Source organism: Homo sapiens, chromosome 5 (assembly GCF_000001405.40).
Source record: "Homo sapiens chromosome 5, GRCh38.p14 Primary Assembly".
NCBI lineage: Eukaryota > Metazoa > Chordata > Mammalia > Primates > Hominidae > Homo > Homo sapiens.
The window spans coordinates 16,717,700-16,732,191 of record NC_000005.10 but is presented as its reverse complement, the minus strand read 5'-3'; the positions used below and the strand labels follow the sequence as shown (position 1 = coordinate 16,732,191).

The 14,492-nt window shown below is 44.3% G+C and overlaps 1 protein-coding gene across 4 annotated transcripts in view, besides 2 other annotated features; it reads left to right on the top strand.

Moving 5' to 3' along the window:
• The window catches only part of MYO10 (myosin X), a 274,382-nt gene that overhangs the window by 204,097 nt on the left and 55,793 nt on the right, over nucleotides 1-14,492 (top strand). The window lies entirely within an intron of this gene.
• Nucleotides 9,867-10,556: an enhancer, noted in NCBI's record as "NANOG-H3K27ac hESC enhancer chr5:16721745-16722434 (GRCh37/hg19 assembly coordinates)". NCBI's record gives its function as "activates a minimal SCP1, AML or CMV promoter by ChIP-STARR-seq in naive H9 embryonic stem cells {active_cell/tissue: H9 hESC(naive)}" and the evidence as "EXISTENCE:reporter gene assay evidence [ECO:0000049][PMID:30033119]".
• Nucleotides 13,589-14,170: an enhancer, noted in NCBI's record as "H3K27ac-H3K4me1 hESC enhancer chr5:16718131-16718712 (GRCh37/hg19 assembly coordinates)". NCBI's record gives its function as "activates a minimal SCP1, AML or CMV promoter by ChIP-STARR-seq in primed H9 embryonic stem cells {active_cell/tissue: H9 hESC(primed)}" and the evidence as "EXISTENCE:reporter gene assay evidence [ECO:0000049][PMID:30033119]".

Sequence of the window (14,492 nt, the reverse complement as noted above, 5' to 3'; positions counted from 1 at the left end):
TTCAGCATACTTTAATTGATTTGCAGTATCCATTTTCTTATATGTTGAATTATTAAACCCCTAATTTTAAGTTTATATGATCTACTCAAAATATGAAATGTTCCCCTTCAGCTTTATCTCTCACCCTTCCAGGAGAGCACGGACCTGCTCCTATTCCTCACACAGACCCCCTCAGTCCCTCCTTGCTCTTGGTATCTCCATGAACCCCCTTCAGAATTTCCTCATTTTCTTTCCTTGCTTGGTTTATCACTCAGCCTTCCATTTTTTTCTGATGGCAGCATAGCATGCATACTAAAAAATGAGTTCTCAAGTCATGTGTCCAGCCGTGAATGATCCCAGAGTGAACACAGCACGTGACAACACTCCCAGGCCAGGCAGGAGATGGGGAGCCGCCCTATCCCAAGCTGGTGGCCTCCGTCACCTCCTGGGGCTTCATGCCCTCCACGCTGTCCAGATTGCCAGCCTTGTCTTGGGTAATGTCCACGCTTTCCTCTCTGTCTCCAATTCCACAGGGTTGCTGGACAATATCAAGAAGCATGTTTTGGCCTGGCGTGGTGGCTCACGCCTGTAATCCCAGCACTTTGGGAGGCCAAGGTGGGCGAATTGCTTGAGGTCAGGAGTTAGAGACCAGCCTGGCCAACATGGTGAAACCCTGTTCTTACTCAAAATACAAAAAATTAGCCAGGCATGGTGGCACACACCTGTAGTCCTAACTACTCACTCAGGAGGCTGAGGCAGGAGAATCGCTTGAACCTGGGAGGCAGAGGTTGCAGTGAGCCGAGATCTCATGACTGCACTCCTGCCTGGGTGACAAGAGTGAGACTCCATCTTAAAAACAAAACAAAACAAAACTGGGCGTGGTGGCTCATGCCTGTAATCCCAGCACTTTGGGAGGCTGAGGTGGGTGGCTCATGAGGTCAGGAGTTCAAGACCAGCCTGGCCAAGATGGTGAACTCCCATCTCTACTAAAAATACAAAAATTAGCCAGGTATGGTGGCGGGCACCTGTAATCCCAGCTACTCAGGAGGCTGTGGCAGAGAATTGCTTGAACCCAGGGGGTGGAGGTTGCAGTGAGCCAAGATCGTGCCACTGCACTCCAGCCTGGGCGACAGAGCGAGACTCAGTCTCCAAAAAAAAAAAAAAAAAAGTGTGTTTTGATCAATGCTAGTACATACTTGTGCCAGCCTTGGAGGTGGCCTCCCTGCTCTTCACCAACTCCCCCCATACCTTCCCACATCCCTGAACCTGATTTCAACCTTCCCATGACAGCCCACGACCTCACCTTGTAATTCATCAAAGGACTGAGAGCATCTAACATCAGCCACCCCACCTTCCATCCTCCGCAGCGTGCTGCATCCCTGTCTTTCTGCCTTTGTCAGATCCTCTCTATATTTTGAATATATTTGAGTTCCTAAGTCTCTCCCATCTCAGGTTGTCTAGGCATTTAGCTGCTTCAGATGTGGCCCCCACCTAGTAATTCTCACAGGGGCCAGGGAACCTGGGTCTCTGTATTCTGTCTTTGTTTCTGGCTTCTCTGGCTGGGCTTGAACTTGACACTGCCCCGTGATGTCCCTCTGGTTTTGGCATCCCGTACCAGCTGATGCTGCCCCTGTTGACCTCTGCTCCATACTGATTTGTCTTCTGGTTATTTTTGAGGCTCACAGTGTTAACCACTGAAGAGTTTTAAACTATATACAAGCCTTGCAATATCTCCATGCACCTTAATCCACTGAGGACTAAGCCCCTTCCCCATAAGCCTCCCTCCTTCCCAGGGATAATCCTTCCCTTCCACCACAGCACCTCTTCCATCTACCAACAGACTGTACCGGTATGTCACATACCCTTCTCTCTCTCCAGGCAGAGTCCAACTTTTCAGCACTAAGACAGAGTAATTCTGCCAATAATGACCTACACGGTTAATATGTAAAAACCCCACATTTAATAAGAAGCGTTTGTTTAGAGGCTCCACAGGGTCAGGACTTGGATCCATGTGCCTGTAGTTCTCTTGGTCCTTCCTCAAGGTTACAAAATGGTTGCCATAGCTACAGCCATCACCTCCTCACAAAACATTGTCATTCCATTTTTTTCAATGAGCATCTGTTATGCCATTGTGATACATCTCTGAGTAAAGCAAATAAAGACCTCACCCTCTTAGAGTAAACATTAATCCTGGAAAGAATCAGGGTTGGGACCAAAGAGACTCCCCTCGGTGCCCCTCTTCCTTTAATTAGGAAGGAAAATCTTCCCCAGGAGCCCCTCAGTAGTTTTGCGTGACATCTTCCTCGTTTCTCTGCTTGGTTCTTTGGCCAGGACTGGGCCTGGTTGCTGAGCCTCACTCCACAGGAAGCTGAGAAAGTGAGTGGATGAGTTCGTAGGGTTGGCTGGGGTACAGTTGGAGTTCTTTTAGCAAAGCGTTGCTGTTGGGCCACACTAGAAAATAAAACTTTAGGCTGGGTGCGGTGGCTCACGCCTGTGATCCCAGCACTTTGGGAGGCCGAGGCGGGTGGATCACAAGGTCAGGAGATCGAGACCATTCTGGCTAACACGGTGAAACCCCATCTCTACTAAAAATACAAAAAATTAGCCGGGTGTGGTGCCTGTAGTCCCAGCTACCCGGGAGGCTGAGGCAGGAGAATGGTGTGAACCCGGGAGGCAGAACTTGCAGTGAGCCAAGATCGCGCCACTGCACTCCAGCCTGGGTGACACAGTGAGACTCCGTCTCAAAAAAAAAAAAAAAATAGAAAATACAACTTTAGATGAAGAGTGGAAGGGGTGAAGGTAGAGAGAAATACAAAAATATTTGGATTTTATCGTTGTACAATTTAGGTAACTTTTAATAGATGTAATATCAGATTTTCTGAATCCACGTTTTAGACTTGTGGTAGTTTTGAAGAAGAATTTAAATAAGGACACTTTCTTATCCATTGAGTCTGACTTGATGTTAAACTATAGGAAGAGAAAGTTTAGTACGTCATGCAAAATTACAGAATAATATTGTAATAACAGTGGATTTTTATATACACCAATACAAATAAATATCTTAGGAGCTTTAACTCAAAATTGACCTTAGTACCTTCTAGAACAATGCATCTCAAAGAGTCAAAAGAGCAGTGTTTTGTTTTTCATTGCCAATTCATTGAGGACTGGTGCATTTGAAAAATACAGTAAAAATCGGCAACCCACTCGGGTCCCCTTCCACGCTGTGCTTAAAAGAAAAGAAAAGGGTCCCCTTCTTGCTGCTGCTTAAAAGAAAAGAAAAGAAAAATACAGTAAAAAAATACAGTAAAAACGATGCAGCCACATCAGATCGCTGTAAGAGTTCCTAAATGCTTATTCTCACCTTTGGTGGCCATCTTGCCATGGACAGGCAGCCGTCCCAGGCCACACTTGGAGTCACGCTCTTCTGGTTTTCCCACGAGGACGAAGGGCACAGAACTAGACACAGGTCCTAGTGCACAGTAGTCGTGTGACCTTGAGCAAGCCACTCCACTTGGATCAGGGTCTCCAGGTATATAATGGAATAATAGTCTTGTCTTGCCCACTGGCTCTTGGATATTCAATTAGACTCATGGAAAGCCTTGGTACATGGTAATTCATATTTAAATATTAGGTGTCATTATATGCCGTTTAACTTTTAATTCAGGAAGGAGACTATATGTAGCTTTTTTTTTTTTCAGTGTTGAAAATTAAAAAGCTCTAGTTTTGGCGATCCAGGGGTTCCCTTTTTGCAGCAAAAGGCAGTTCTGCTTTCTATCTTCCCAAAGAGCTGGAGGGGTGGGAGCCAAAAGAAAGTCCCCAGGTACCTCATCCCCAAGGAGTTGGTGTGCAAGCTGGTGTGTGGCCTGAAGTTTGGGATCTGCCTACAGGGTTTCCCCAGAGGGCAGCCCGCAGAAGGAGGCAGAGTTGAGAAATCTGTCCAGTGTGCAGGAGAGGAGACAAGCGACCCTGGCCGTGTGCAGTAGTCCATGCACACGCAGGGCCATTGAGAGAGAGGAAGTTGGAGCGGCAGGTGCAGGGCTGTGAAAGGCAGGAAGCCAGGAGGCAGAAACCAGAATGGAAGGAAGAAGCCATGGCGGAGGGCGGCCTATGTTCCTAGAGCTCAAGGAAGCATTCAATCACACGCTCAACACGTGATTTTCAGGCCACTTGTGTGTTTTGGAAACAAGTATGTGACCAGGCACAGAGGCAGCCAAGATTCAAATGAGTGAATGTCCCATGGACATAATTAAAGAGAAAGGGCTTGTACTAAACACTGGAGAGCTGTTAGGCATAGCTTTTCCAGGCATTTCTTTGCTAGTTTTTTTTTTTTTTTTTTTGGGCTGGGGGGAAGGATCGGAGTGTATGTGCCCCAGTTTTATCTTGTTTAATCCAGCTTTATTACAGCTCTGTCCTCAGCGCTGGCTCTGTTTCAGCATCCCCATAGGCAAGGAAGATGCTGGCTTCAACAGTTTGTTTTAAAAAACAAAAATCAAAGTTAATGTCCTAGGAATCTTTTGGGGGATCCCTGAAAACTAAATATAAATTTGTTAGGGAAAGTAGTTAGTTATATGTTGTTTGAGAATCATTGTCTTGATCTTGAAAGATTATTTGACACTTTATTTGATGTTAATGGAAATTCTTCGTGTTTGATTTATTTGTTCAGAGTCATTAGCCTCGTGAGAACCCTTCATGGGGCCTTTATTTCACAGTATTTGCATGAGCATTGTTTTTTATCTTTGAAAAATGGGTAATGTTATGAAAAGGAATATGTGTTAGTCTCTAAACATGCAAGCCTTATATCAAAATAGTCTGACAGTGTATTTATACAAAACATGCTGCAGGTATCAAACAAAATTGTAATCAAATTAGAATTTTAAGCCTTGTTGTTTTACTCTCCAAGTCCTTATAAACCAGAAGCCCTAACTTTTTAGAATAACACTGTTCAATAGGAATAGAATGTGAGCACCATGTCTAATTTAGGTTTTCTAGTAGCCACATTTAGAAGTGTAAAAAAAAATTGTTTTTTTTGTGAAAGCAGTTTTAACAACATATTTTTTTTACTATATCCAAAATGTTATCCTTTCAACATGTAATAAATTTCAAAATGATTAATGAGATACTTTATTTTTTCATACTAAGTTTTTGAAATCTGGTGTGTAATTATCTCTAGAGCACAACTCAATTTGCACCAGTTGAGCACCCTGTTTGTCTAGCTTTTATTCTCTAACTCAAGAGATTAGTAAACTTCTGTAACTGGCAAGATAGTAAGTATTTTAGGCTTTGCTATTGTATTGTGGAAGTGGTCACAGACAATGTGTGGCTGTGTTCCAATAAAACTTTATTTACAAGAACAGGTGGCAGGCCGGATATGGCTGGCAGGCTGTGGTTTACAAGCCCTCACTCTAACTAAATGTATCATCTCGTGGGTTTTAATGCTCAGAAGTTGATTTCTATTTTGGGCTGCTACCAAGATAGCTATTGTGATAAATTTCATTCAGAAATATTCAGGAAATATGTACCAGGAAGTATACTCCATTGTTAAATAATGAATACGTTGGAACTACAGGAACTCCCCCTTTCCTGAATTTGCACCTTTCAGGAAGAGCCGCATAGCTAGTGGTGCTTAGTGCTGGCTTGGCTGTCACGATGCCTGGATTTGAAGCTCAGCTGTGTTAATTAAGCATGAGCCTTGTGACCCTAGACAGTTAATTAACCACCCTGCACTTCAGGTTATGCATCTGTAGAATGGGGATGACAATAATATCTACCTCATAGAGTTGCTAAAATTAAATGAAAGCTGACACAGTAAGCCCTTGGTACATGATAGCTTTTGTTATTCCTCTGCCACTAATGTTGCTGCTGGAAGTACTACTTGTACTGTTACTACTAGTGGTGTTAGTACTGCTGTTACCACCATCACCACCACCACCATAGAGATCCATACATACAAACCAACCTATGTGCCAGAATGGAACCATGCTGACTTGATGATCGTCCACAGATGACCATAGTGGCCACTAATATGGTATCACTTTGGACGTAAACTTGTCAGTCAGCAGATGTGCTACTGCACTCTAGGGGAGATCTGGCATGATCTGCAAGGATTTAATGTTAAAAGACTTGAGTGGGCTGGGCACGGTGGCTTACACCTGTAATCCCAGCACTTTGGGAGGCTGAGGCGGGTGGATCACCTTGAGGTCAGAAGTTTGAGACCAGCCTGGCCAACATGGTCATCTGTCTCTACTGAAAATACAAAAATTAGCCTGGCGTGGCAGCGTGCGCCTATAATCCTAGCTACTTGGGAGGCTGAGGCAGGAGATTCGCTTGAACCCAGGAAGTGGAGGCTGCAGTGAGCCAAGATCACGCCACTGCACTCCAGCATGGGTGACAGAGCTAGACTCCGCCTCACAAAAAAAAAAAAAAAAGGGGGTACCTGTTGCTTCTCTGGCCTGGTAATTGCTGTATGATATGACTCAGGTCACACAACATTCTTTGACCCTATTTAATGAAAATGCTAATTAATGGCTGCCCTACCCACCTCACAGGGTGATAGAGCAAATTGTAGGTAAAGTACTTTGGAAATTGTAGAGTGTTGTGGAAATATTAGCTGAGAGCATTTCCCACACGATTGCTTTTTTAAAAATGTATATCACACACTTAATTTTATCATCATGGACTGATTTAATTCATAGAGTAGTTGTAAAGATTAAGTGGGCACATGTAAAGTGCTCAGTTCAATGGTAGAAACATAGCTCCTGTTCAAGGGCTGGGTAGTTGCTATTTTTATTACTCGATTTTCAATTTAAGATGTAGTATTTTGGCTGGGCACAGTGGCTCGCCCCTATAATCCCAGCATTTTGGGAGGGCGAGGCAGGCAGATCACAAGGTCAGGAGTTCGAAACCAGCCTGGCCAACATGGTGAAACCCCGTCTCTACTAGAAATACAAAAATTAGCAAAATTAGCTAGGCATGGTGATGCATGTCTGTAATCCTAGCTACTCAGGAGACTAAGGCAGGAGAATCGCTTGAACCCGGGAGGCTGAGGTTGCAGTGAGCTGAGATCATGCCGCTGCACTCCAGCCTGGATGACAGAGGAAGACTCTGTCTCAAAAAAAAAAAAAAAAAAAAAAAAAAGAAGAAGAAGGTGAGAGAACTGTATATCCTGACAGGTTAACTGTCTCTAAGATTCTGTTAGGTAAGAGAAGCAAAATGTGGAACACTTTTATTTGCATTTTTAAAAAAGCAGTGCGTGTATTTATCTGCACACACGTGAGCGTGCATATACACACACATGCATACTGTGTTTATACATGCATTGACTGTGCCTGAAGGAGACACAGGAAACTAGTACGAATGGTCTTCCTCAGGAGAGCTGTGGGGTTTTTATGGCAGATGCTTTTTTGTATATGTATGTATGTGTATGTATTATATATGCATATATACACCCAGATCCTTTGCGTGTATTATTTTTTCATTTAACAACAACAAATTAGTTAGTGGGGAAAAAGAGATGGCTGTAATCTCCCAATTTCTTTTGCATCCCTCCTCATTAAACACTATACTGAAGAGTTACTTCATGACGTCTTGCAGTGGAACCCCCATAGAAACACATTCCAGTCGTGTCATGTGAGTCATTAAAAAAAAATAACTGGGTATCGAGCTGCGTTTTGGGCATGTTCTCTAGAAACACATTGTGAGGGCTACTTGGACCTTATGCTGGCTTCCTTTAGAGTCATATTTGAACTAGTGTCAGGACCCTGAGATTTTCTGTGCTGTTTTCATGACAGTAAATCAAATCCAGTTGGACAGAATGGGTTTTGTTTAGGTTTTCTTGCAAAATTCTCGCTCCAACAGTAAGAAACCTGGCTCCCATCATCTGCCATTCATTTTTTTGTTTAATTCCAGTGTACATGTACAGTAGTATCCAGAGTTGTGACTCCATACCCCTGGGGAAAACAACTTTATCAACTATAGTACAGAGCTGAAATGCAGTTCTTTATGCTTTTAGTCTTATAGACTCTATATGTTTCCAGCGTTATTTAAGTCAGCGTCTTTTCCCTCACCCTGTTTAGTGAGGTCGATTCATTTAGATTCTCTTGTGACAATCTACATTATTTCTTGGTTTCCCCAAAGGTTTATTCTAGTGCTCTAAAGTTCCGCGAGTTTTGACAAATGCATGATGTCATGTATCCACCATTACAGTATCACACAGAATAGTGTCACTTCCCTAAAATTCCTCTGTGCTTTAGTTCTTCATCCTTCCCCCGACCCCTGGCAACCACTGATTGTTCTACTGTCTCTGAAGTTTTGTCTCTTTCTGGATGTCATATAATTGGAGTCAAATAGTATATAGCCATTTCAGACTGACATCTTTCACCTAGCACTATGTATGCACTTGAGGTTCCTCCGCATCTTTTTGTGGCTTGATAGCTTTTGAATAATATTTCATTGTATGGATATACCGTAGTTTCTTTGTCCATTCACCTGTTGAAGGATGTCTTGATTGCTTCCAGTTTTTGGCAGTTACGAACAAAGATCCTATAAACATTGATGTGCAGATTTTTGTGTGGACGTAAGTTTTTGCCTAAATGGGAAAATACCTCAGCGGGCAGTCGCTGGATCATGTGTTAAGACTGTGTTCAGCTTTTAAGAAACTGTCTTCCAAATTGACTGCACCATTTTGCATTCCTGCCAATTCTGGGTGAGAGTTCTTGTTGCTCCACATTTTTGCTAGCATTTGATATTGTCAATTTTCTGGATTTTAAGCATTCTAATAAGTATGTAGTGGTACTTCATTATCGTTTTAATTTTTTTTCTTTTTTTTTGAGACAGAGTCTCGCTCTGTCACCCAGGCCGGAGTGCAGTGGCGCAACCTTGGCTCACTGCAAGCTCCGCCTCCCAGGTTCACGCCATTCTCCTGCCTCAGCCTCCCCAGTAGCTGGAACTACAGGTGCCCACCACCACGCCCAGCTAATTTTTTTTTTGTATTTTTAGTAGAGACGGGGTTTCACTGTGTTAGCCAGGATGGTCTCGATCTCCTGACCTCATGACCTCGTGATCCGCCTGCCTCGGCCTCCCAAAGTGCTGGGATTACAGGCGTGAGCCACCACGCCTGGCCTGTTTTAATTTGTAATTCCCCAATGACAGGTGATATCTTTTCATATGCTTATTAGCCTATCTTCTTTGGTGAAGTGTCTCTTCAGATCTTTTGCTTATTTTAAAAATTGGATTTTCATATTGTTTAGTTTTAAGTGTTCTTTGTAAATTTTTGATACAGTCTTTCTTAGTGTGTATTTTCCAAATATTTTTCAGTCTGTTACTTGTCTTTCATTGCCTTAACAGCATCTTTCTCGGAAGAAGGTTTTTAATTTTAATGAAATCCTACACATCTATTTTTTCCTTAAGGGAACATTCTTTTGTTGTTGTATCAAAGTTATCCCCAAAGCCACCTAGATTATTTCCTATGTTATCATCTAGGAGTTTTATAGTTTTGTGATTTACATTACATACATAGGTCTATGATTTACTTAATTCTTGTGAAAGTTGTAATGTCCACATCTAGATTATATCTTTGCATATTGCTGTCCAATTATTCTAGCACCATTTGTTAGAAAGACTATCCTTTCTCTAATTGCCTTTGCACATTGCTCAAAAATCATTTGATTATAGTTGTGTAGATTGACATACTTTTTAAAAAGCAAAAAAACGTTTTCATTTCTCCAAAATCTGTAAGAGAGGCAAAACCTATTTAATGCTAATTAAACAAATATATTAGAAACAGCTGTAAACAGAAGCACAATTTTGTTCATGCAAATATACCAGCGTAAGTGAGAGTGTATCTGATACGTAGGGTGACACACCAGGCAATGTAGTGAACTCAGACATTCATAGAATTCAGCTGCTCCGCTGCAAGAATGTGTAATTTAATGGGGAGTTCACATGGACATGCTTAAGATGAAAAAGAGTGTGACCAGGGGTCACATCCTCATGCAAGTACAGCGTGTGCTGGGAACCTAGGGGTGAGAGCATCACGGATGGCACCTGTGGGATGCATCGGGACAGTTTTACGCAGGAGGGAGCATTTGAGAGACACCTAAAAGATCCATCAGGCTCAACAGATGGTACATTTCAGGTGGAGAGGCCAGTTTCAGCTGAGGTGGAGACAGGAAGTGAGCATTTTAATCAAGAAACAAGTAGAATGATCTATGGTTGGACTAAAAGGTAGGATTTGTATAAGGGCGTATTGACTGGGAAGGTAAATTGGAGCCATACTGTGAGGACCTCGAATGGGAAATCGAAGCCTTTGTCTTAAACTGGCATGTGCTGGCTCTGTGTGAACAGGGCTGTGATACAACCAGAGCTATCCCTTAGAAAGATTGACATGTATGTGTGCATGTTATTTATGTTCCAGTGTTTTCTTTCCCATTAGGTAGTTGAGGTTTGTGTGGGTCCGAGGTAAGCGCCTGCAGCTGTAACAGAGTGTGAGTGTCCTTGCTCAGGGTGACAGCTGTACTTAGTCTCAGCGGGTATGTGGGTTGAAGGTTGTACTTGGTGAGTGAGAAATTTCCAGACCCTACAATCTGACCTCCAGGACTGACTGACAGCTTGCTCGCCAGTCAGGCCCTGCTTACTACCTTCCTGTTCCTCACCTGCGGGGGTTGCCTCTTCTCTAGGGGAAATTAGTTTCTGCCTCTTTTCTAAAAATGTGAAAATTAGCAAGTAGCAACCACTGTGTAAGTGTTTAACAGCCCCGGAGTGAAATGACTGATGTAAGTACAAAGGACTTTTGTCGCCAGTTGAAGTGACTTTTATTTACCTTCTGTTCAAGGTCAGGAAAGTTATATTGCTGCTTTAGTTACGATGCTTTTGAACATTGTTCAAAGCATGATAAACTTCTTATCTGAGAATATTTATTCACCACTCTTGAGAGTTTATTGTAGCAAAGAAAGCAAATAGACTGAGATTCCTTGCAGAGTTCTTTGTGAATCAGCAAGAGGAGGGGATGGGAGTCCTGTTGTGAGGCTTTCTTAGTAGTTACAGGACTGGGAATGATATTTTGTTATGTAGCGTAATTGTCTTTGGGTAATTCTTATGGAGTCTTTAACTTCTTAAAGTTGAAGAGGGGTTATCAGAAGATAAGGTTGTTTATTTTTAAAGTTAAATGGGGTAGAGGTATATCCCATAATGGAAATGCAAATACAAATATACCTAATATTTTAAATCCTCTCTGTAGCAGTGCCCCCTGCCCCACACATACAGTATTCATGTAATGAATTATGTAATGGCTTTTCTTATTACATAATTCACATATTTTATGTTTCTTAAGATAGTGGCATACTAATCTCCACAATATGAACTGTGCGATGAGTCCCTCAGTTGCAGACCCAATATGAATGTAAAGTTTAAAGTATTTCATTTAAAGTAGGTCAGGTGCCATTAAAGAATACAATGTGGAGGCTGGGCGCGGTGGCTCACGCCTGTAATCCCAGCAATTTGGGAGGCCAAGGCGGGTGGATCACAAGATCAGGAGGTGGAGACCATCCTGGCTAACACGGTGAAATCCCGTCTTTACTAAAAATACAAAAAATTAGCCGGGTGTGGTGGCACGTGCCTATATTCCCATCCCAGCTACCCGGGAGGCTGAGGCAGGAGAATTGCTTGAACCTGGGAGGCAGAGGTTGCAGTGACCTGAGATCGCACCACTGCACTCCAGCCTGGGCGGCAGAGCGAGACTCCGTCTCAAAAATTAAATTAAAATAAAATAAAATAAATAAAATAAAATAAAAATAAAATAGTGGAAAAGTAGAACTCTAAATTTTGAATGCAGTACCACTCACTTTGAGAAATAGTCTAGCAATGTGGAGGTTGGTCTTATAAGACATAAAGTCTTCAAAAAATTCTTTTAATAAGCTCCCAAGTTAAGGCAGTAAAGGCAATTGACTTACTGTCGGTGTGATGCTCAGCTCCTTTGTTTGGCTTTCTGGGGCTGTTTGTCAGGGCTCTGAGGATCTCCTGTGTTGCCAGATCTCGGGCTCTCTACCATTTTGCATCCTAAGCAGATCTAATCTGGGAAGGGCCTGCATTTGTCAGGGCAGAGCAGGGACTGGGTTTGCTCTTGGACATCCCACACCATTAGTTATTTGTGTGGGTGCTTAGTCTATGGGAGGCTTCTAATACATACATACATATACACACACACACACACACACACACACACACACACGCACGCACACACATTTATTTCTTTAGGGACCGAGTTTCACTCTTATTGCCTAGGCTGGAGTGCAATGGTACAATCTCGGCCCACTACAACCTCCGCCTCCTGGGTTCAAGTGATTGTCCTGCCTCAGCCTCCTGAGTAGCTGGGATTATAGGCATGTACCACCACGCCTGGCTAATTTTTATATTTTTAGTAGAGATGGGGTTTCTCCATGTTGGTCAGGCTGGTCTCGAACTCCTGACCTCTGGTGATCCACCCACCTCAGCCTCCCAAAGTGCTGGGATTATAGGCGTGAGCCACCGTGCCTGGCCCAAATAAATATTTTTAGTTGATTAAAATAATTGTTTACTTTTACATAATCTTCAAGACATTGTGATCACATGAAAGTTTTAGACCTTGAGTAAATTCTCTCCAAAAATGATAGGAAAGGATCCACTCTAGAAATAAATTATAACATGTATTCAGAAGCACCCAAGGAGTTGTCACACTGTATTTGATATTTGTTATTAAAGCAGAAGCAGTCGTTATTATATACGTTGTCACATGCAGGGCATCATCCTTGGGATACAGTGCCACATGTTACCAGTGTGTCCCTTGTCCACTGTGGTGTGTCATCTCATGCTCAGACACCTGCCCTTAGCAGGCACCCAAGGAGGGGGTATTGTGTCCGGAATTGGTGGGTTCTTGGTGTCACTGACTTCAAGAATGAAGCCGCGGACCCTCGCGGTGAGTGTTACAGCTCTTAAGGTGGCGCGTCTAGAGTCTGTCCCTTCTGATGTTCAGATGTGTTCGGAGTTTCTTCCTTCTGGTGGGCTCGTGGTCTCGCTGGGCTCAGGAGTGAAGCTGCAGATCTTCGTGGTGAGTGTTACAGCTCATAAAAGCAGCGTGGACCCAAAGAGTGAGCAGTAGCAAGATTTATTGCAAAGAGCAAAAGAACAAAGCTTCCACAGTGTGGAAGGGGACCCGAGCGGGTTGCTAATGCTGGCAACCTGCTTTTATTCTCTTATCTGGCCCCACCCACATCCTGCTGATTGGTAGAGCCGAGTGGCCTGTTTTGTCAGGGCGCTGATTGGCGCGTTTACAATCCCTGAGCTAGATACAAAGGTTCTCCACGTCCCCATCAGATTAGTTAGATACAGAGTTTGGACACACAGGTTCTCCAAGGCCCCACCAGAGCAGCTAGATACAGAGTGTTGATTGGTGTACTCACAAACCTTGAGCTAAACACAGGGTGCCGATTGGTGTATTTACAATCCTTGAGCTAGACATAAAGGTTCTCCACGTCCTCACCAGAGCAGCTAGATACAGAGTGTCGATTGGTGCACTCACAAACCTTGAGCTAAACACAGGGTGCTGATTGGTGTGTTTACAAACCTTGAGCTAGATACAGAGTGCCGATTGGTGTGTTTACAGTCCCTGAGCTAGACATAAAGGTTCTCCACGTCCTCACCAGAGCAGCTAGATACAGAGTGTCGATTGGTGCACTCACAAACCTTGAGCTAAACACAGGGTGCTGATTGGTGTATTTACAATCCCTGAGCTAGATATAAATACTCTCCACGTCCCCACCAGACTCAGGAGCCCAGCTGGCTTCACCTAGTGGATCCCGCACCAGGGCTGCAGGTGGAGCTGCCTGCCAGTCCTGCGCCGTGCGCTCGCATTCCTTAGCCCTTAGGTGGTCGATGGGACTGGGCGCCGTGGAGCAGGGGGCGGTGCTCGTCAGGGAGGCTCCGGCCGCACAGGAGCCCATGGAGTGGGTGGGAGGCTCAGGCATGGCGGGCTGCAGGTCCCGAGCCTTGCTCCACGGGAAGGCAGCTAAGGCCCAGCGAGAAACAGAGCACAGCGCCGGTGGGCTGGCACTGCCTGGGGACCCAGTACACCCTCCGCAGCCACTGGCCCAGGTGCTAAGTCCCCCATTGCCCGGGGCCAGCAGGGCTGGCTGGCTGCTCCGAGTGCGGGGCCCACCAAGCCCACGCCCACCCGCAACTCCAGCTGGCCCGCAAGCGCTGCACGCAGCCCCGGTTCCCGCTCGTGCCTCTCCCTCCACACCTCCCTGCAAGCTGAGGGAGTGGGCTCCAGCCTTGGCCAGACCAGAAAGGGGCTTCCACAGTGCAGTGAGGGGGCTGAAGGGCTCCTCAAATGCCACCAAAGTGGGAGCCCAGGCAGGGGAGGTGCCGAGAGCAAGTGAGGGCTCTGAGGACTGCCAGTGTGCTGTCACCTCTCAGTATGAGATGCAAATGGAGTTAAATCCCCGTGGGTCAAAGAACAGTTGAATTGTTTGTCAGTGATCAGA